Raw genomic sequence first — 21,857 nt, forward strand, 5'->3', positions numbered from 1 at the left:
TCTAGTACAAAGAGTGGTTTTTAGTTTTGTCTTGTTTTATTTTTAAGATCTAACTAAGACAACAGTCACTGAGCATGCCAGGGACTCAAGCCTATGGACAAAGAATTCAGTGGCTCATGAAGAAACCAGTTCAAATCAGTTAACAGCCTAATTAGTGTTACAGCTACATTGACTCCCCCTTGCCACTATCAAAATACCCAACTTAGGACCGGCAGATAGACCGTTAGCATTTCCCAGATGCCCAGCCTTGCTGAACAGTGGTGCTCAGCTTTTTTCTCACTCCAGTATAAGGCAAGCTCCAGGGTGACCACTTAACAGCAACTCAGACTGTGAGACTCAAAAGTGTGCCCATAGAGAGAGGTGAGCATGCAAAAGACCCTCAGACTGACGATCAGTGTATTCAGGGAAATCTGTCAACCTTTTGTTTATCTATGGATATAGCACCTCTAGTTCAAGGATCACATACTTCAAAATGCCTACAGAAGCCAAGTCAGTAATGTAAACATATAAAGTAGGCCCGGCAAGAGAAAACCACAGTAGGACAGTCATGTTCCATCTAAAGGCAAATAAAATATATGCAGGACCAAAAAAAAAAAGATTTACAGACTGAATTTGCCATGCGGTCTTCTTCAGTTTGTGACCTCTATATCTGGTTCCCTACCAATATTTTTAAGATTAAAACAAAACCAAACCCTCAGGCTTAGAGAAGTTTGCAAATGTCCCAGGCCACTTGGTTGATTAACAGCAGACATGACAAGCACTGAGGTCTCTTGACTCCAAGGCCACATCCTCTGTGCTGTACCTTGCTGCAGCTCTTTATCTTAAGGGGAACTTCCTGGGTCTGGAGCCTGCAGGCACCAACAAAACCATAATACAAGAGGCCTTTGTTCATGAGCCAACAAAGCTCTCTCCTGGATTCAAGTGTGCCCAGTACTGGGCAACAGACATCTCAAACCAGGAGCACAGAATTGCTCTCTGCTCCCCCTTCAAACCTCAGGCAACTCGATCCTAAGATTTCAGTTTTATTGGCTCTTCACACCAACAGTGGATTAGCTTGCAGCAACCTAAACTGCTGTCTCAGAAGAGAAAAAAGAAAGGAAAAGAAAGGACTACTCACTTGTTCAACCACATAAAATGCAAACTGCAAGCGCTGGCGCTGGAGCATGGGAAGCAGGTGTCTGAACAGGACTGGGAGGTGCTCGTGGCGGTTCCGGAAGGGGATAAGGATCGCCACCTGGAGTGGATTACAGCAAAAGAAGCACAGTTAGGACTCTCAGCTTTCACTCCTTAGCAGGACACCCCTGATGAATTGCTGACCAACCCATGGGAGTTCTGGGAGGCTGGCTATCTTGTCCTCAGCTTTCTCTAAACAAAGATCTATGTTGGCAAGTTGGCCCTTGGACCTAGATGAATGTGATTCTTACATATACCATATCTTATAGTACATAGTAGGCCTATAATTTATTCTAGGCCATAACTCATAGGAAAACACACATTCTACACTGTGACAAAAATACATCTATAAACTTACAATTAAAACAAGCTTCACAAAACAGTATTTCCCCTTACAATGTGCAATGTACAAATGCTGGTTATTCAACTGTTTTTATTTCCCAGCGATGGGCTGGATACTGATGTGTTCCAGATCTGCTGCATCAGCAGCACTTAACGAGGCTGGCACAGAATACGCATTTTAATAGATACTTGTTGAAAGAATGGACTTCAGCTGGGGTCACAGCTTAACGAAAACTACTGATGTCTTCTGACTATGGTCAGGCAGAAAAAAACTAAATCTCAATGTCAAGCCAGGTAACTTTGCTTTTTAATCCACTAATCTTGTAGTAACCAATGGAGAACAGGAATGAAGCACTGACTCTGTAGATGACTTCTGCAAATGGGTCATTAGAGACCACCAACGCCCTCATCCCCTTGCTTTGTTAATATTCCTGGTGGGAAGACCAAAGGGTCTTGCTCGGTCATCAGAATAATGCAAATTTCTGTATCTACAAAAAGAGTCCTTGTGGAAACCCATTCCTCTAAAATGTTTCTACATTTGCATGGAATGGTAGGATGAAAATGACAAAATGTCATGGTTAGCTAATCCCATGGTGATTCGGACCAAAGGCAAACCCCAGGTGGGCTTCTCAGCATTTTGGCTGTGACTTCACACCCTACCTTCCACCGAGGCATGCAATCAGAAGGCTTCCAGTGACCTCCGAGCTTGATGGTTGGGTCTTTGGAGAAGAGTTCATGAATGTAATCCATTCCAATTTCACTCATGTTTATGTCTATTGGGCCCTCTGAACAGAGACGGGGAAAAGGGATTAAGAGGTCAGAAAATGATAGGTTTCCCTATGCCTGGGGTTTTAGTCTCTGGAGAGCGCAATGCTTTTTCAGCTGAATTTGTTTTTAGCAAGGATGGAAGTCCCTTCCTCTGCTTTCCATCTCACCGTATTTCAGTTCCTCACTATTTTCAAGGTGAAGAGGCAAATCAAGGAATTAAGACTTTAGAGTTCTGCTTCTGTCAGGGGCCAGGTAGAAATGAAAACTTTAAGTAAAACAGTAGCTGAGCTTTTTTTTTTTTTTTTTTTTTTTTTTGAGACAGTCTCGCTCTGTTGCCCGGGCTGGAGTGCAGTGGTGTGATCTCAGCTCACTGCAACCTCTGCCTCTGGGTTCAAGCAATTCTCCTGCCTCAGCCTCCTGAGTAGCTGCGGTTACAGGCATATGCCACCACACCCAGCTAATTTTGTATTTTTAGTAGAGATGAGGTTTCACCTTGTTGGCCAGGCTGGTCTCGAACTCCTGACCTCAAGGGATCCACCCACCTGGGCCACCCAAAATGTTAGGATTACAGTCGTGGGCCACTGTGCCCAGCCTTCTTTTTTTTTTGTTTTGTTTATTAATATGTTTTAATAAATAGAGACAGGGTCTCACTATGTTGCCCAGGTTGGTCTTGAACTCCTGAGCTCCAGTGATTCTCCCACCTTGGCCTCCCAAAGTGCTGGGATTATAGCTATGAGCCCCTGCACCTGGCTGCAGCTGAGCTTTTCTGAGAAGAAGGAGAAAAGCAGCTGAGCTTAGAGTCATGTCAGGTTTGCTCCTGATGCAAGTGCAGCCACACTACCTCTCTCAATCCATTCACCAGTGGGTCAGGACCCTGAGTGATTATGTCCTAACTCAGAATGCTGGTCATCTCTGACTTAAGTCAGGAAGTGGTACAGTAACAATCAATAAATGCTACTGAAACAATGAACTAATAACATTAGTTTTAGGCCTGTCAACGCCTATTTCTGATACACAAATCTCAGCCTTCCCAAACTAAGCTTACATCTAGATGCAGACAAATGCAGGTTTTAAAGGGAAAACCTATATATGTGTGGTGAGACATGCAAATGAAACAGTAAGGCTTCCAACACAACTTACATACTTATAATTAATTATTCATATATGGATGAGAATATGTTCAAATACCATGCACGACTATTTCTAACATTTTCCCTATTTTCACTATATTTGTGCATAAAAGTCAACTTTGCAAATGTAAGATTTTCCTTTTCTTGATCTCACTTCTTAAAAAAAAACAATTTTAAAAAAAGAAGTGGGGAACCATATTAAGAAGCCTAAAAGTATAGGAAAGGTATAAGAGTTTACTGTCCTTGTTTTAGCTTACACGAGATTCAAAAAAAAGAACAAAAAGATCTAAGAATTGTTTTAACTAGCACTTTGTTAAGAAAATAACTTCCAAGCAAGGCATGGTGGCTCATGCCTGTAGTCCCAGCTTCTCAGGAGGCTGAGGCAGGACGATTGCTCCCTGAAGTTGGAGACCAGCCTGGGCAACATAGTGAGACCCCCACCTCTAAGATCAAGCACTACAATCAGTGAGAGGTTTATACTAAAAAGACAAAGCTGACTGCCTATACAGTGATGTGCTTTGACATTTTCACCAGTGACGGATGGCATATACGGTGGTTGCATAAGATCACAATGGAGTTGAAAAATTCCTACTGCCTAGTGATGACATAGCTGCCATAGCATTGTTGTGTTACTCAAGTGTTTCTGGTGATGCTGGTATAAACAAATCTACTGCATTGCCAGTCATATAAAAGTGTATCACAAGGCTGGGAGCAGTGGCTCACACCTGTAATCCTAGCACTTTGAGAGGCTGAGGTGGGCGGATCACCTGAGGTCAGGAGTTCAAGACCAGCCTGGCCAACATGGTGAATTCCCATCTCTACTAAAAATACAAAAATTAGCCAGGCGTGGTGGCAGATGCCTATAATCCCAGCTACTCGGGAGGCTGAGGCAGGAGAATCACTTGAACCTGGGAGGCAGAGGTTGCAGTGAGCGGAGACGGCACCACTGCACTCCAGCCTGGGCAACAAGAGCAAAACTCCCTCTCAAAAATAAAAAAGTATAGCACATACAATTATGTAGAGTACATTATACTAGATAATGATAATAAACTATGTTACTGGTTTATATATTTATTATACTATATTTTTAAATCATTATTTTACCCTTTTGAAACAGGGTCTTGCTTTGTTGCCCAGGCTGGAGTGTAGTGGCACGATCATGGCACACTGCAGCGTGTTGCCCAGGCCTAGGTGGGAGGGTTGTTTGAGGCCAGGAGTTCAAGACCAGCCTGGGCAACATAGTAACACCCCATTTCTTAAAAAAGTAATAATAATAATTTTAAAATTAGCCAGGCATTGACAACAGGCACTTGTAGTCCTAGCTCCTCAGGAGGCTGAGGCAAGAGGGTTGCTTGAGCCCAGGAGTTCAAGGCTGCAGTTTTTTTTAAAACTTTTTACAAGTTCACAAGTTTAGAAAGTAGAAAGGTATAATAGTAAGGTTCATCTACCATTAAAGACAGACAAATATTTTCTGAATAAATTTGGTGCAGCCAAAGTGTTCAGTGTTCATAAAGTCTACAGTAGTGCAGAGTCATGTCTCAGGCCTTCACGTTCACATTCACTCCACGTTCACTCACTCACTGACTCACCAGAGCAACTTCCATTCCTGCAGGCTCCGTTCATGGTAAGTACCCTACACAGCTGTACCATTTTTTATCTTTTATATCTCATTTTTTACTGTACCTTTTCTATGTTTAGATACACAAATACTTACCATTGAGCTACAATTACTGTATAGTACCATGCTGCACAGGTTTGCAGCCCAGGAGCAATAGGCCATACCATACAGCCTAGGGGTGTCGCAGGCTACACCATCTAGATTTGTGGAATTTTACTCTAGGAGGTTCTCCCAACAATAAAATCACCTAATGATGTACTTCTCAGAAAGTACCCTCGTTGTTAAGCTATGAATGACTGTATTCATACTTTCTCTAGGAAGTTCAAACAGAACCCAAGTTACAAAGGACAGGCAAGGGCAAAGGGAAGAGTGAAAAAGTAGGAAAGGTAGAAAATGGCACCCAAGAACACAGGCAACCTTGCAGCAGGCTTTGAAGAGGAGCCAGGAGCACAACTTTCACAAACCCTGTTTCCAATGGCAGGGAGGTATTTATATTCTCTCTGCAGGCAGACAGAGAGATCAAGAGTGCCCTCCCCTTTATCCATTTTAAAAGCAGAGGAAGACAGGCCAGAGCTGTACTCACTCATGGAAGGGAGTCTTTCAGGGCAGGTATGGTTTGCAAAGTAGGTGAAGTCTTCAGGAAGAAATGTTGTAGTTTGCAGGAAGGTTTCACTGTGGTTCAAGTCAAGAGGATAATCTAGGGAGGTAAAGGAAAAAAGTCGATCAGACTGGTATGTGTGATCAACCGTGCAATTATCAGATGCCTACCAAGTAAGTCTTTCTCTTAGCTATCATCTTGGTAGAAGGAGACAGGACTCTGGACTACCGCTTTGATGCAGCTAAAAATGTGAACCCATCAATAAAAATGTCAGCCAAATGGCAGATTTTAACCAGTGTTCCTATTCCTATTGATTTTATAGGTTTATATGCAGCACTCAGTTTACAGTCAACTGTAATTAAATGTAATTTTAAAAACAGCAGTTGCCCTCCTCTCATTTCTGTTTTCTAAAGGAACCACTTGCCCTTCTTTTGGCCAAGTATCTCAGCATTTATATGCAGTATTCACCTCTGTCAGCCTCTACGGCTGGTCGTGATGTTTCTGTTTTCAGTCTTACCTACCGACCTCCCACTTATCCCCTTCCTTCTGCCACCCCTGCCACACGATCCCCTTCCATTCCCCAGTCTCCCATCGGTCACATATCATAGCTGTGGTTAGGACAATCTTCAGTCTTTGTATTACGATGCTGCTGTTAAGTACTAGTCGTCGCTGAGAAATGTGGAAAGTTATGCATCTTGTTTTTCTGTTTGCTCAGTTTTATATGCAATGATTCTAATTCAACACCACGCCTTTCACCAAGACATTTCCTCCTAAGACATACATTAGGTATTCTCTCAACTTCATCCTCCCAGAGGAGGTGTGGCAGCTTCTGGCCTTCTTCCATGCCAAATGTGCTTGGGGGGAGGTATTCTCTCGGTGATGATTCCTCCCTTCTGTACTCTGTGCTGCCTTTCTGGAGAATACAGAACAGGAGTTGGATGTGAGACCTCCCAGTCCTCTGTCTCATCTTTTCTATCCAGTTTTCCGTCTTGCCATTTATCTGCCCTACTTTCCAAGAGATTTCCTCAACTTTACTCAACCTTCCTTTAATCATCATCTCTGCTATCATATTTTTTAACTTTGAAGAGCTCTTGTTTCCTGAATGTTCATTTCTTACTATATTCTTGTTTCATGTTTGCAGTCATTTTTCTCTTATTGGTATCTCCAGTGTCAATATCTTTGGGTCTTTTCTCCTGGTCTGACCAGATTCTCCAGAGAAATCCACTCGAATCTCCTGCCAGAATGGTAGAGTCCTGACTATAAACATCCTGAAACTAAGAAAGAAGAGAAAGAGGCTGGGGCATATGTAATCCCCATCTTTTCAAATACTGTGGTCATGCCAGGTATCCCCAGGTTGAGGAGCCTCTGTTTTGCCATCTCTGGGGTTATTAAGTCTCCAGCTCTTGCCAGGATGGGGAAATGGGTCTGGGTATCTGACTGCTTTTTAACAGCTTTCAATCTCCCTTTATTTTAGTTGCCACCTTTGCTCCTACTTCCCATATTGCTAGTTCCTGAGCTTCTGGGGGATCCTGGGGTGGTTGCTGGTTCTCCTGTTGCTGCTTTGAGCAGTCAGTTTTCTTGGGTTTGTTAAGTCTTTTATCAGTGGTTCTTCTGCTTTCTACCTACCAAGGTTTTTTGCTGTGGTCTCCTTTTGTGTTCTCATTCTCAAGGGTTTATAATTTAAAAACCCTCACATATGTATGCCCCTTTAGAGTCACGTTAGTGGATATGAAGAGTGTGATGGCAGATGTCTTTTTCCTAGGGGACTGTACTTGTAGAGTAGGAGGAGGGTCCTCCAACCTCATTTTCTACAGATGAATAACTGGAACAACATACACAGAACTCAGACCAGGAGCCCTGGCTAATGCATGACAGAGCTCCAACTAAACTCTGAATGAGAGATCCTTCCAGTATACTGTATTGTTTTTATTTTTTTCACAGAATATTAAATCCTTTTGGATCCATGCTGATTCTATGAAAATTAAAACATCCTGTTCAAATTCACTTTGTACCCTAGAATTCTAGAATCTTCAACTAAGATATTTTTGAAAAAGCACTATGAGCAGGTTTCCAAGAATCAAATGGCTAACACATTGAATCCTTTTATATATGCACACGGCTGCCTACTCTGCGCTGCCTACTCTGCAAGTACTCTGGGGCAAAATTCAACGAGAGGCAACTTGAAAATTTTAACTGTGTCTTAACAAGGGAAGGAACAGAATGCTTTCTGTCCTTTTCAGTAGTAGCTTTCCTGAAAAACACTAAGCCTGCATTTATAGAGAATAGTAGAGACTAATTTATATAAAGACATAAACCAGGCTGGGTGGGGTGGCTCATGCCTATAATCCCAGCACTTTGGGAGACTGAGGCAAGAGGATTGCCTGAGCCCAGGAGGCCAAGACCAGCCCAGGAAACATGCTGAGAACCTGTCTCTACAAATAATTTTAAAAATTAGCCAGGCCTGGTGGTGCGCGCCTGTGGTCCCAGCTACTCGGGAGGCTGAGGCAGGAGGATCACCTGAGCCTGGGAGGTCGAGGTTCCGGTGGGCAATGATCACACCACTGTACTCCAGCCTGGGTGACAGAATGAGATCCTATCTTAAAAAAAAACAAAAACAAAAACATGAACCAAGACAGAACCTTAAAGATAATATTTACACAGAAATTCTCTGAGCTCAGCTCATACATGCAAACCTGGCCTGGGTTGAATCTTCTTCTGAAGGTAGTAACTACTTCAAAAATCTATGTGAAGAACCCCTCATCCTAATTATTACTCAGGATGAATCTAATAGATGAAATTATTCTCCTTTAGAAAAAAATTAAAAGACCTCACAAGTAATAGAAAATGTGCCTGTGTTTGTGATACGCCCATGTGTGGCAAGAGACGCTGGCTGGAAACATGTATTGGCACAGTCAATACATTCACTAGAAGGCAATGAAATTCCCAAAAGTATTACACTAAGTATATTTTCATAAACAAATCAACAAAAACGAAGATAATAATCATTCTGGTCAATGACTGACCCAAGCCCTAGAGCTAGAACCTAATCAGGAAACTAGAATTTAAAAAACATGAGGCAAGAGACAAGATATCACTAACTCTAATGATTCTACTATTTGGAGTTTCTTTGAAGATAGATAAATTCCTTTCTACTTCCTTCAAACAATGATACAGTAAGCCTGGTAGCACCTAGCATGAAACAAAAAAAAAGCATTTATTTTTCTTCTGATTACTAAATTAATAATATGTCACTGTTTTAAGAATCCTCAAATACGCAACAACTCTATTGCAAAAATCTTCCAGAAACTTACTCTACATCTTGGGAGGGGTGGCTTAATTTCCTGATTTCTTGTTTAAAAATTTTTAAATAAAACTTTAATTAAAATAAAGTCTACTTGGAAGGCCAAGGTGGGGTGCTCACTTGAGGTCAGGAGTTCGAGATCAGCCTGGCCAATATGGTGAAACCCCATCTCTGCTAAAAAAAAAAAAAAAAAAAAAAACACAAAAATTAGCCGGGCATGGTGGCAGGTACTTGTAATCTCAGCTACTCAGGAGGCTGAGGAAGGAGAATCGCTTGAACCCAGGAGGCAGAGGTTACAGTGAGCTGAGATCACACGGTTGCACTCCAGCCTGGGCAACAACAGCAAAACTCCATCATAAACAAACAAACAAACAAAGTCTGCTTTTCAGTAGCAATAGAGGCCTTTTAAAATGAAAGAGACAGAGGAAATTAATTGCTCACGACCTGGTAAAACTATGTGCAGTTATCGTGAGGAGCCCTTGTTTTTCTCCCCTGCTAGCTGTCCAGCAACGGGTGGGGTTATACCTTATCCCCTTGGAGTTCCAAATATAACTTCTTACTCTTCTAAAGCATGTACCTACTGAATGAGGAAAATGCTGAGAGAAAAACAAGCCTGTTGAATTTCTACAGCCACAGTTTTACTTTTTAATTTAAATCTAATCTATTTCAAACCTGGACATGTTCTTGAAGGGCAAAGAAGGCAGCTGCTTTTACATTTAGAAAATGGAAAAACAAGCCGGGCGCGGTGATCTCTGCATTTTGGGAGGCCAAGGCGGATGGATCACCCAAGGTCAGGAGTTCCAGACCAGCCTGACCAACATGGTGAAACTGTGTCTCTTACTAAAAATACAAAAAATTAGCCAGGCACGGTGGCATGCGCCTGTAGCTCCGGCTACTCAGGAGGCTGAGGCAGGAGAATTGCTTGAACTCAAAAGGTGGAGGCTGCAGTGAGCCGAGATCCCGCCACTGCACTCCAGCCCGGGCAACAGAGCGAGACTTTGTCTCAAAAAAGAAAATGGGAAAACAGGCCAGGCACAGTGGCTCACATCTGTAATCCCAGCACTTTGAGAGGCCAAGGCAGGTGGATCACCTGAGTTCAGGAGTTTGAGACCAGCCTGGCCAACATAGTGAAACCCTATCTCTACTAAAAATACAAAAATTAGCCAGGCATGGTGGTGGGTACCTGTAATCCCAGCTACTCAGGAGGCTGAGGTAGGAGAATCGCTTGAACCTGGGAGGCAGAGGTTGCAGCAAGCCAAGATCGTGCCACTGCACTCCGGCCTGGGCAACAGAGCGAGACTCCGTCTCAAAAAAAAAAAAGAAGATAGATAGATAGAAAATGGGAAAACAACAGACTCCTACCTACAGGTTCAAATGGCTACTGATATCATGGGCTTGCAGACCAACATTTCTGTCCAACAGCAACTGCTTATTCAGCATTGCTTCACACCAGTGGTTCAGCAGCCTTGGTTGCACATTGGAATCATCTAAGAAGCTTTCAAAAATCCTAACACCAGGCCGGGTGTGGTGGCTCATGCCTGTAATCCCAGCACTTTGGGAGGCCGAGGTGAGCAGATCACTTGAAGCCAGGAGTTTCAGACCAGCCTGGGCAACATGATGAAACCTCATCTCTACTAAAAATACAAAAATTAGCCGGGGGTGGTGGCACCCACCTGGTGTCCCAGCTACTCAGGAGGTTGAGGCAGGAGAATCACTTGAATCTAGGAGGCGGAGGTTGCAGTGAGCTGAGATGGTGCCACTGCAGTCCAGCCTGGGTGACAGAGCAAGACTGTCTCAAAACAAAAACAAACAAACAAAATTCTAACATTCAGGCTATACCTCAGGCCAATTAAATAAGAATCGCTAGCAGTCAGGCACAGACATCAGTACTTTGGAAACGTCCTTGGGAATTCCAATGTATAGCTAAGCTTGGTATTGCTACCCTAATACCTGGAGGAGGTAAAAACCTGCCTTCTCCCTTGTGTTACCAAATCCAGTTGAGAAGGAATCGAAAGTGCTGACCAATGGACCCCAGCAAGAATCACCACTTTCCCCTCCCATTTGAGAAAAGACCAAACACTTGCCTCTCTGCTTGAAAAAAATATGGAAATTTATATATACTAGAAAGATGCCACTGGGACAAATATCTGTGAAATATAAAGAATTAGCATTCTTCAAGAGTTAGTCCATTAAAGGATGACTACCTACTGGGAGGGTAGCCACATCGAAGACTACAGACTGGACATCTAAAACCACCGAGAAAGAGGTGAAGATGACCCACTCCATTAATAGATTACAAAGCACACCAGCATGACTTTACTCACTCTGCAGATTCACAATCTCACAAACCAATGGCTTTCAGTGACAACAGGAAGCTTCTCCTGGTCACCACTTCAGGTTTATTTCCAGGTTCACAGACCCCATCCCCAAAAGTCTGTTTTCATTCACTAATCACCATGTTGCTTTTAAACTTAAAGAAAACCAGCATGACTTAAATGTCACCCTGGGCTTTTGAGCTATGCTTGGCCTAATGCAGATGCCTGAATGTGGGTATGTGCCTCAGCATTATTTCAGCAGAGGATGGTGCATAATCCAGGTTACCACCATTAAGCCAACAGTGCTCCAGGCAGAAGTGGTCGGGCCAGAGGTGTCAGTCATTTGGCTGTCTCAGCAGTGCTGGGCCCAGAATACCCTCTCTGACTGTGCTAGGTAGACAACTGCTTTGAAATGAAGAAGAATGATGGGTTTTCATTAAATACACTTTCAGTGAAATGCTATTTTCTTTTCAGTACAGGTTGAGTATCCCCTTATCTGAAATGCTTAGGACCAGAAGTGTTTCAGATTTCTGATTTTTTAGGATTTTGGAATATCTGCATTATACTTACCAGTTGATCAACCCCAATCTAAAAATCCGAAATCTGCAATGCTCCATTGAGTATTTTTTTCAAGTGTCGTGTTGGCACTCAAGGTTTCATCATGTGTGGATTCTGGAGCAGTCTGGAGTTGGTATTTTCTGATTGGGGATGCTCAACCTGTACTTACTCGCCAAAGATGTGCCAGTGACACAGCAGCTCCACAAGATGGTGACCTCCTTAGAAACATGCTACAACACTTAAGACGTGCTTTCTTGTTAAATTCATTCCTTCATGCATACAAAAATAACTTACCAAGTGCTTCCTATGTGCGAGGCAGTGTATAAGGTACTAAGGATACAAAGATGACAAAAGGAATGAAGCCATTACTGCGATTCAGGGCACAGGCCCTGGAGTCAGAGAATCAGCAAACCCTAACCCTGCTGCTGCATCAAGTTCCATGACTTCCATGTGCCTTGTTCCTTTTATCCCTACAATGGGGACACAGTAGCTACCTTCTGGGTTCTTGTGAGGGACTACATGAAATCATGTAAGTCAAGTATCTAATAAACAGTAAGAGAGTCCCTGATGGCACAGACTTCCAATCTATTAGAGAAATAAACACGTTTAACAAAAAATAGATTGTTCTAACCAGAGAGATGCAAGGAAAAGGTATTTGGGTGTATGATAATTTGAGAATAAAAGTACACCAAGTTCAATAATAACGGGTCACTGGATACACCCTCCAAGGGTGAAACTCACCTCTGTACTCAGTTTTCAAAGACAGCAACTCAGGAAGTAGCGCAATCCTGTGTTGCCAGACCGGCAGTGGTGTGGAAATGGGGTCCTGCTGCATGCCCCTCTAACTTCTGAGAGAACTGCCAGTACTGCCAAATGCCCAGAGAGACAGATATTCCAGCCTCATCTAACACTGCAGAAGTATGACATCTGGACTGGATAAATGTCATGAGGACACAAATGTTCCCTTACTCAGTGCTATACAGGGGAGAGCGCTCTGGAAGGGCAGTCAGTACTGCCTCGTTTCTTCACCTAACTAGAAGCAGGATTTTGGCAGGGTTTAGGGAAAGAGTCACATGATCAAGCTGCGCCATCTTCCCCAAGATTATATGTACTATGTGTGAAAAATGCAAACAGCATAAAATTCTGCCTTAACTGACAGAGCCACATGAGTCGAGTGAGAATGTGTGTGCGGATTGTGCAAAACCTACCACCACATGCAAGACGGAAACTGCAGGGTTTCCTCTCCCAGGTATGGTTCAGAGCTCAGGTAACTTGACCCAGTGCGACCACAATTTGTCTAAAAAGCTCTGAAATGTCATTCACTTGTTCTTTGCCAACAAGAAAGTATCAAAAGTTTATCAGTTTGCTAACTACAGTCCTCTGTTGCTAAAGTGGACGGCAAAGGAAACTGATAAATTAGGATGTGGTCAATTCTTTTAAGGAGAGGCAATTCTTTTAAGAGAGGCAATGTTTTCTCTTGATTTTCTAAGCGCCACAGAATAATTCGCATTTGCAACATTTGCAAAGCAATTTCACATTCGACAGTGAACTTCCAAAAATCTTGTAACTTATTAGAGAAGAAGAGAGGACTGATTTAGAGGGAGAATTTTTTTTTAAATGTAAGTATTTTAAAATATTGGGCTTAGACGAAATCATTAAGAAGCCATAGGAGGCTGGGTATGGTGGCTCATGCCTATAATCTTAGCACTTCGGGAGGCCAAGGCAGGTGGATCGCTTAAGCTCAGGAGTACAAGACCAGACTGGGCAACATGGTGAAAGCCGTGTCTACAAAAAATACAAAAATTAGCCATGTCTACAAACAATACAAAAAATGAGCCACGGTGGCTCACACCTTTAATCCTAGCACTTTGGGAGGACGAGGCAGGAGAATCACTTGAGCCTGGGAGGTCAAGGCTGCAGTGAGCCAAGATCATGCCATTGCACTCCAGCCTGGGAGACAAACTTAGATGCCATCTCAAGAGAATAAAAAAAAAAGCTCGGGCACAGTGGTTCATGTCTGTAATCCCAACACTTTGGGAGGCCGAGGCAGGCGGATCACCTGAGGTCAGGAGTTTGAGACCAGCCCGGCCAACATGGCGAAACCCCGTCTCTACTAAAAATACAAAAGTTAGCCAGGTATGGTGGCGCACACCTGTAACCCCAGCTACTCGGGAGGCTGAGGCAGGAGAATCAGTTGAACCCGGGAGGTGGAGGTTACAGTGAGCCGAGATTAACACCACTGCACTCCAGCCTGGGTGACAAGAGCAAAACTCCATCTCAAAAAAACCCAAACAAACCCAGAAAGCACATTAGTCCTCAGTTACAGAAATGAGGCGAATCATGAATCCTTAGTAAGATGAAATCTCAGAATCTATTTTTTAAATAAAAACCATCCCTGGCTGGACTAGAGAGGCCTCAAGAGAGTCCCACTTAATCATGTGGAAGTATTACTTCCTTCCTGTATTCAGTTTTTGAAAGAGTTGAAAAGAAAGAGCCCTGGCACAGTGGCTTATGCCTGTAGTCCCAGCACTTTGGGAGGCCGAGGCAGGCAGATCACTTGAGGTCAGGAGTTCAAGACCAACATGGCCAACATGGTGAAACCCCATCTCTACTAAAAATACAAAAATTAGCCAGGCATGGTGGCATGCTCCTGTAATCCCAGCTACTCAGGAGGCTGAGGCACGAGTATCACTTGAACTGGGGAAGTGGAGGTTGCAGTGAGCCGAAATCACCCGTTGCATGCCAGCCTGGATGACAGGAGCAAAACTCCGTCTCAAAAAAAAAAAAAAAAAAGAAGTAGTCATCCAGTCACTCTTAATGTATTATGCTATAGTTTAAATGTCTGTCCCCTGCACACCTCATGCTGAAATGTAATCCCCAATGATGGAGGTGGGGCCTACAGCAGGTGTTTGGTTCACAGGGGCAGATCCCTCACAAATGGCTTGCTGCTGTTGCGGTAGGTTCTCCTCTATTAGCTCCCACAAGAGCTGGTTGTTAAGAAGAGCCTGGCCCTGCCCTCCTCTCACCTGCCACATTGCTTCCTCTCACCATACACACAGGCTTCCCCTTCCCCTTCCACCAAGAGTGGAAGCAGCCTGAGGCCCTCACCAGAAGCAGACGCTGGCATCACACTTCTTGAATAGTTTGCAGAACCATAAGCCAAATAAATCCTTTTTCTTTGTAAATTATCCAACCTCAAGTACTCTTTTATAGCAACACAAACAGACTGAGTCATATTGTTAACAAAAATGAACGAGGATTCATTTGGCAAGAGCTTTTTTAGCAGTAAAGTAAAACTCAGCCAAATCCCTCTTTTACAATGCGCTTTTCCCATTGAAAATAATTATTGCAACCGAATTTACCTCTCTTGGGAGGAGACATTCTAATCAGACCACCTCTTTACTAAAAATATACCTGAGTCATTTACACTGCTGTTCCTCTTGGCATAAGCACTCCGAAGCACCTGCTCATAAACCTGAGCACCGATTGTTCTCACGTTGTCCCGGATCAGAATGCCTTGGGCTTGCATCATGAAGAGGTAGGTGTTCACTGCAGAAAGCAAAAAGGGGAAAAAGAGGTGGATTCAGAAGCAATCATTTAAAAAAACATACCACATAGCTATGGATTTTTTTTTCTTTTTGGACTTTTAAAGCCTCTTTTAGTTCTTTTAAAACCCTACATGACCATAACTCTATTTTCCATACCTTTCAGGACACCAACATCTTTTGGGTAGCTAGTAGAGCTTAGAGGAATTTCTGTCAATATCCAACAGTTCTAGAAAAAGCATCAACTTAAAAAAAAATATATTCCATCTCTTCTCCAAATACCCAATCTGTATTCTAGCACTCTGATCATCAGAAGAAAGACCTTTATGAATTAGTTAAAACTTTTTTTTTTTAAAGGTTTCTGCTCTCTTTAAGTTCACCTTCTCAGAATTAGTTCATGGTTCTTCATAGAGAAAAGAAACCACTGACTCTCTGACTGCTAGAAGCACTGAAGCCATGGTCTGAAGCCACGGTCTGGTCTTGGCAACCTTTTCAAAGTGGTAGACTGAGGCTCCAATCACTTACCCTTGGGAGATTTGGAAAGAAAAAGGAGTAACGAAAGACTATTTGCAGTCCTCACTATCCACCCATCCCAGCCCAAAAGTCCAAAGCAATAGGGAAAGAGCACAGTCCAAGGTCAATTAAAACATGCTCTTAACAAATGAGTGTTCAGATTAACCTGCCAATCTTGTCTTCTTTGGAAAGTGATCTCCACTTGCATTTTCCTGAAGTCTCTCTATGATACAAAACTAGAAGCTCACAAACACGTCAAAATGTAATCCCTATATTCTACTTGCAAACTCCACTGCTATGCCATCTATTTTCAAGAAACAGTGAGATTGTAAAACATAGTTTCTTAACCAGTCACTCTAATTCCCTCAAATTGCCTTTGTCATTGTGAAAGGGGGATGTGTTACAGGGGTGGAACATTTACAAATCTAAACTTTGTGGGTGTCTGGGGGTGGATTCATCTAACCGCTTGGCTAACCTCGGGACCAGGCCCCAGTGCCTCCTCCACACTCAATACATCTGGCCTTGGGATGTGGATTCCGGCTCTTTGACAAAACACTTGGCTGACATTAGGTTTCATCACTATTAAAGCAGTATCCTGTACATAATGCGCAGCAAACAATGACTGAATGGAATAATGGACGAAGCTTAGAAGTCACTGTATTTCAAGCTAGTGCTTTTGGTGCTTTATACTGGGAATGACAGAGGTGGGGTGGGTTAGCATAATGTCAAAAACCCCACGTGGCCAACATTAAACAGGGACATTGAAATCTTTCGAAAGATTTCAAATCATCTCTTAAGGTATATCCCAAGCCATAAAATAATAAGCAAAAAGGACCAGTGTTCAGAATGCTTTCCGAAATGAGGGAGCAGTTTCAAATGCGGCCTTGCATTGATTGGGAGACAGCCCTATGCTTAACTTCTGGCACCGTCGGAGAATAGATCAGATATTGTGTTTATTCTCTAGTAGCTAGGAAAGATTTTAAGGAAAAAAGACAGCTTCCAATTATTAAAAAAAAGTATAACTGTGTGAAGTCTCTGAAAGCAGGAGTAACACCTCATTCTCTATTTCCAGCAGATAGGACACTGCCAGTCACAGTAGGGGGGCAGTCCACAAATACTTGTTAAACCTAAGACTTAAACTTCATCTAATATCACATTTCTAATTCAGTCCTGTGTTGTTGTTGTTGTTTTTAATCATTTGGGCTGTGCAGTATGTTCCCACTGCCCTGAAATCTTCCTTTCATCCCAACATATTACTAAACCAGTTGTCTTATTGAAAATTTTGTGTAAAGCTTTTATTGTATTTATTGAAAATCTTGTGTAAAGCTTATAGTAAGGTGCCGCCAAGAACTCACTACCTCCTTTCCTCTGCACTGCAAAGGACACAGTTGCTTAGCCCCTCCTTTAAACACTCTCCCTTTCTTAGCTTTGCATCCCAACTGGAGGATTCCTCTAGGGCAGTCATTCTCTAATGTTTCCCACCCATCCCCCAGAGTGCTTTTAAGAAGCCTGTTTCCTAGGTCCCACTACCCAGACTGATGCATCTGGTCTGAGTGGGGCCCATGAATGTGCACTTGTAACAAGCTCGCAGGTGATAAATGGTGCTGGACTAAGGACCACACTTCTATAACCACTGCTCTAGGGAACTCTGGCCACATAATAAATATAAGCAACATTTATTGAGTACTTAATTACATAATTCCTTACTGCATTTAATCCTCATAATTATCCTAAGAGGCAAGTAATACTATCCAATTTACAAACAACTTCTAGGCTTCAGTTTCTCCAAGTATCTTCACAAAGGTCAACTGAGAGCACTAGAATTTGAACCAGGTGTGTCTGTGCTCTTAACCACTAAGCTTTTATACCTCACTCATCCATGTTCTAGCCACAACCTCTCTCTGAAAGATTTCAAGCACCCACATGGCTTAAATGCTTACTCTTAAGGAGATAGCTCTCACATCTTCATCTCCTGCACAAAGCTGCCAGATGGATCTTTCTTGACCTTTCTTAATTACAGATTTATCCACACTGTTACTGCTCAAAAGTCTTTTACGTCTCTTGCCTTTATCCCTGAGCTGCTGCTACAGCAAGGAGTCTATTCTTTCTGCCGTGCAAATCCCATTAATCCTTCAAACCCCAGTTCACAGACCTCTTGAGGAAGCTTTCAGTACCGTGTCAGTCTCCCCCCTTCTCCAGTTTCTGTGATGGTCTATTACAGACTATCAAAACTTGGATTTGTTTCCATGTTGACTTAATTCACTAACAACTGTCTCGTGTTAGTCTCGTCATTCAACTAATAAATTAACGTAAACCACATAGTATTTTTTTTTCTAATTATCGAAAGGAACTAGCACAATGCTAAAAAAATAAAAACTGAGGGAGTAAAGATTGCCAAACAAAAGGAAATAATCACAAATCCACAACTTGGGATTGGATGGCATTTTAAGGAACACTCACCAATATCATCGAATGCTTCCCACTACTGGGGAACTATGACCTCCAAGAACACAGAGTCAACAGGGAAAATATGGCCATCAGCAAAGAAAACCTACTTTGGTTGGGTACAAAATGTTTCCCAGTCACTTGTTTTTTCTTTTTTTCTTTTTTTTTTTTGAGACAGAGTCTCAGTCTTGGCTCACTGCACCTCCACCTCCCGGGTTCAAGTGATTCTCATACCTCAGCCTCCCAAGTAGCTGGGACTACTACAGGTGCATGCCACCATGCCTGGCTAATTTTTGTATTTTTCATAGAGACGGGGTTTCAGCATGTTGGCCAGGCTGGCCCAGTCACTTTTGCCCACTGGTTCTCTCTCAACCTTCCCCAGACACCCTCTCCCACTCAGGCCCCTTCTATGTGTGCCCCTCCCATATCACAACTTCACACAACTTCACATCTTCATCATCACAACTTCATCATCACAACCTCACTCCCCATCCAGGCTGCGCTCTCTGCATACTGGCCCAGTTGTCTACACTTGACAAAGAGTTGTGACCACACTAACGGAGTTGTCCAGATGCAATAGGATGAGCCTAGAAACACACAAACCACCAGCAGCCCTGTTCCACCTGTTACCAAAGATCTGTAAAAGCAAGCCCCTTTTTGGAGATTCACAATGCACAATAACTCAAGGCCCAGAAATTCCCAGAAGAGAGATGTTTAGTTATTTAGCCTGCCATTTCCCAAACCAGAACATCAAGTGAGTCTCTGCAGAACTTACTTTGGGAAATTCAGTTTTGGATATTTCTATGAATAGACTTTTTAAACGTCCATTACATGGTTAGGTAATCAATCAATCAATCTTTGCTGAATGTTGTTGGTAAACAGCAGTCACATCCTATTACTAATTCATATCAAGCTTGCTAGAAGCAAAATCCCCTTAATCTTTTTAGAGATGCTAAATTGCCCTTCTCCTGTGCAATGCTCATGTAGTTGGTTATACAAATCAAACTGTAGGACCTTTCAGGTGTCTCTATTAAAAGTCTTGTTACCGGTTGGGCGCAGTGGCTCACATCTGTAATCCCAGCACTTTGGGAGTCGGAGGCAAGAGGATCACTTGAGGCCAGGAGTTCAAGACCAGCTGGGCAATACAGCAAAATCCCGTCTCTACAAAAATAGATTTTAAAAATACTAGCCGAGTGTGGTAGTGTGCGCCTGTAGTCCCAGCCACTCACTCAGATCAAGGCTGCAGTGAACCATGATCGTGCCACTGCACTCCAGCCTGGGCAACAGTGAGATGCTGTTTGGTTAACAACAACAAAAAAAGCAGTCTTGTTAATAAACTTAGGCCATGGCTCTGGCCTAAAGTAGGAAGTACATATGCATACACATGTTGCTTTCAATCTAAATTATCTCATTCAAAATTCACATCTCTGTGAAGTAGATATCATCTTGAGTGTTTATTTTAGATTAGGAAGTCAAGTCCTCCAGGGGGTAATTTGCCCAAGGTCATATGGTTAGAGAAATCAAAACCAGAGAGGTGAACTGAGTTGCTGCATATATTTTGATGAGCTTTACTTTGTTTTTTTCTTTTTGTTTTTTGGAGATAGAGTCTCCCTCTGTCGCCCAAGCTGGAGTGTAGTGGCGCGTCTCGGCTCACTGCAACCTCCATTTCCCAGGTTCAAGCGATTCTTCTGCCTCAGCCTCCTGAGTAGCCGGGATTACAGGCACCTGCCATCATGCCCAGCTAATTTTTTGTATTTTGGTAGAGATGGGGTTTCACCATGTTGGCCAGACTGGTCTTGAACTCCTGACCTCAGGTGATCTGCCTGCCTTGGCCTCCCAAAGTGTTGGGATTACAGACGTGAGCCACCGCACCCAGCTAACTTTGAAAATTCTGAAAGCAGTACTTTCTAATAATATGGTCCTGCGCAACAGTGGCTGAATCACAGTTAAAAAAAACAATTTTAAGTTGGTGTGCAGTGGTTAAATCCTCCAGTTTCAACGAGTCTCTACTGAGCACCTCCTTCACTGTGTGCTTTTCAGGCACCGTACGAGGGCACTGGAGGCCAAGTATGCATAAGGCAACGCTGAATAGATGAGTAATGTATAGACAAAATTCAACAAATTACAATGCAGTGTGGTAAATGCGACAACATTTAACACAAATTCACACTTACTAATAATTTGTTTTACACTTTCATGAGACAATGTAATTATTATCCAGCCTCATATCTAGGAGGAGGGATCTCTTATATATAACCATAATTCAGTTGAGAAAAATAAGCCCCATTCAGGTCTACACAATTAGAAATTTCCATTCAGATGCCAGTGTTAGCAGCCTTGGGCCATGGCTTAACTGGACAGCTTCCGGGGGCGAAGGACTGGGTTTCCTGCCCTTCAGCCACCTCTTGGCCACACAATGGTGCCTTTCTTCCTCTCTGCTTCTGATTCTAACAGGAAAACCTCCTCCTTTCTCACTGAACCTTAATGTGTATCCTTAATGTTTGCTGTGGTTGGCTTGGTAAGCTAAAAGAGGGTTCAGAACCAGAAAAGAAACCATTCCCTTCCTGACCACTTTTTACAATCTGTATCTCACCCCCAACATATGCAAACATACAACACACACACACTCACACCCAAACACCAATCACCCTCCTCTGCTTTGGTTTTCTACTTAACATACAACATATTTTAAAATTTATCTTGTCCCCCATAAGAATGTGAGCTCCATTAGGGCAAGGCTGTTGCCTACTTCCTTTAATGCTGTACCCCCAGTGGCTAGAATGGTGTGTTGGGAACACAGAGGATGCATAATAAATATCTGAATTTAAAAAATAATAATAATAAGTTGAGACAATATAGAGTTTTCTGAACTTGGCTGTGCTCCAGGAGGCATGGAGATGGATTTCAAGCCCTTCTCTTTATTTTGCATTAGCCCCCTCCTCCTTTCTGAGAGGAACCCAAAATACTGTAAGTTAACCAGTTTCACTGCACTAACCTGTTCCTAAGAAAAGCTCAGTCATTCCTTTCCACCAATTGAGCAGCACTGCCAAAAAGATTAGCTTTCCCCCCAAAATGTTCTGTTACTCTCATTCCTCATAAAGCTTTTAAAAACATGTTCCATACTATAATGCACAAGTTTATTCAAAATCTTGTGCAATAATATTTGTAGTAGAAAAACACTAGGGAAAAAAGCCTAAATGACCATCCAAAGGAGACTGGTTGAATACATTTTTATACTCACTCCCATGGATGAGTACCATGAGACCATAAAAAAGAATGAGAAAACATTTGTTATAGTCCAAAACTAGAAAGAACTCAGAAGAGATTAAATATTTGTAGCCTATTCCGATTTTGGAATACTATACAGCAACAGGAATAAATAAACTAGAACTGCATGCACCCACGTGAATGAATCTCTCACACTTTATGTGACACAAAGAAGCCAGACACAAAAGAACACATGTGGTATGATTCCATGTAGATAAAATACAAAAACAGGCACAGCTAATCTACAACATAAAAGTCAGGAGAATGGCTACCCTGGAGTGCAG

General features: G+C 42.6%; 1 protein-coding gene across 3 annotated transcripts in view, besides 1 other annotated feature; it reads right to left on the bottom strand.

The window, feature by feature from the left end:
- B4GALT5 (beta-1,4-galactosyltransferase 5) overlaps window positions 1-21,857 on the bottom strand; it is an 80,934-nt gene that overhangs the window by 8,406 nt on the left and 50,671 nt on the right. Inside the window, exons 1-5 of one of the 3 annotated variants that reach the window (XM_047440588.1) lie at window positions 16,028-16,050; window positions 15,218-15,352; window positions 5,615-5,728; window positions 2,176-2,300; window positions 1,118-1,234 (exon numbers count right to left, since the gene is read on the bottom strand). In XM_047440588.1, coding sequence (XP_047296544.1) covers window positions 1,118-1,234; window positions 2,176-2,300; window positions 5,615-5,728; window positions 15,218-15,335 — 474 coding nt within the window. In that variant the 5' untranslated portion in view covers window positions 15,336-15,352; window positions 16,028-16,050. Of the gene's footprint in view, window positions 1-1,117; window positions 1,235-2,175; window positions 2,301-5,614; window positions 5,729-15,217; window positions 15,353-15,507; window positions 15,530-16,027; window positions 16,051-21,857 lie in introns of those variants that run through there. The other 2 variants (XM_047440587.1, NM_004776.4) reach the window with 2 other exon arrangements.
- Window positions 20,582-20,876: an enhancer, noted in NCBI's record as "tiled region #2374; HepG2 Activating DNase matched - State 5:Enh". NCBI's record gives its function as "activates a minimal TATA promoter and a strong SV40 promoter by Sharpr-MPRA in HepG2 cells {active_cell/tissue: HepG2}" and the evidence as "EXISTENCE:reporter gene assay evidence [ECO:0000049][PMID:27701403]".

This window comes from Homo sapiens, chromosome 20 (assembly GCF_000001405.40).
Source record: "Homo sapiens chromosome 20, GRCh38.p14 Primary Assembly".
In the NCBI taxonomy this organism is placed as follows: Eukaryota; Metazoa; Chordata; class Mammalia; order Primates; family Hominidae; genus Homo; species Homo sapiens.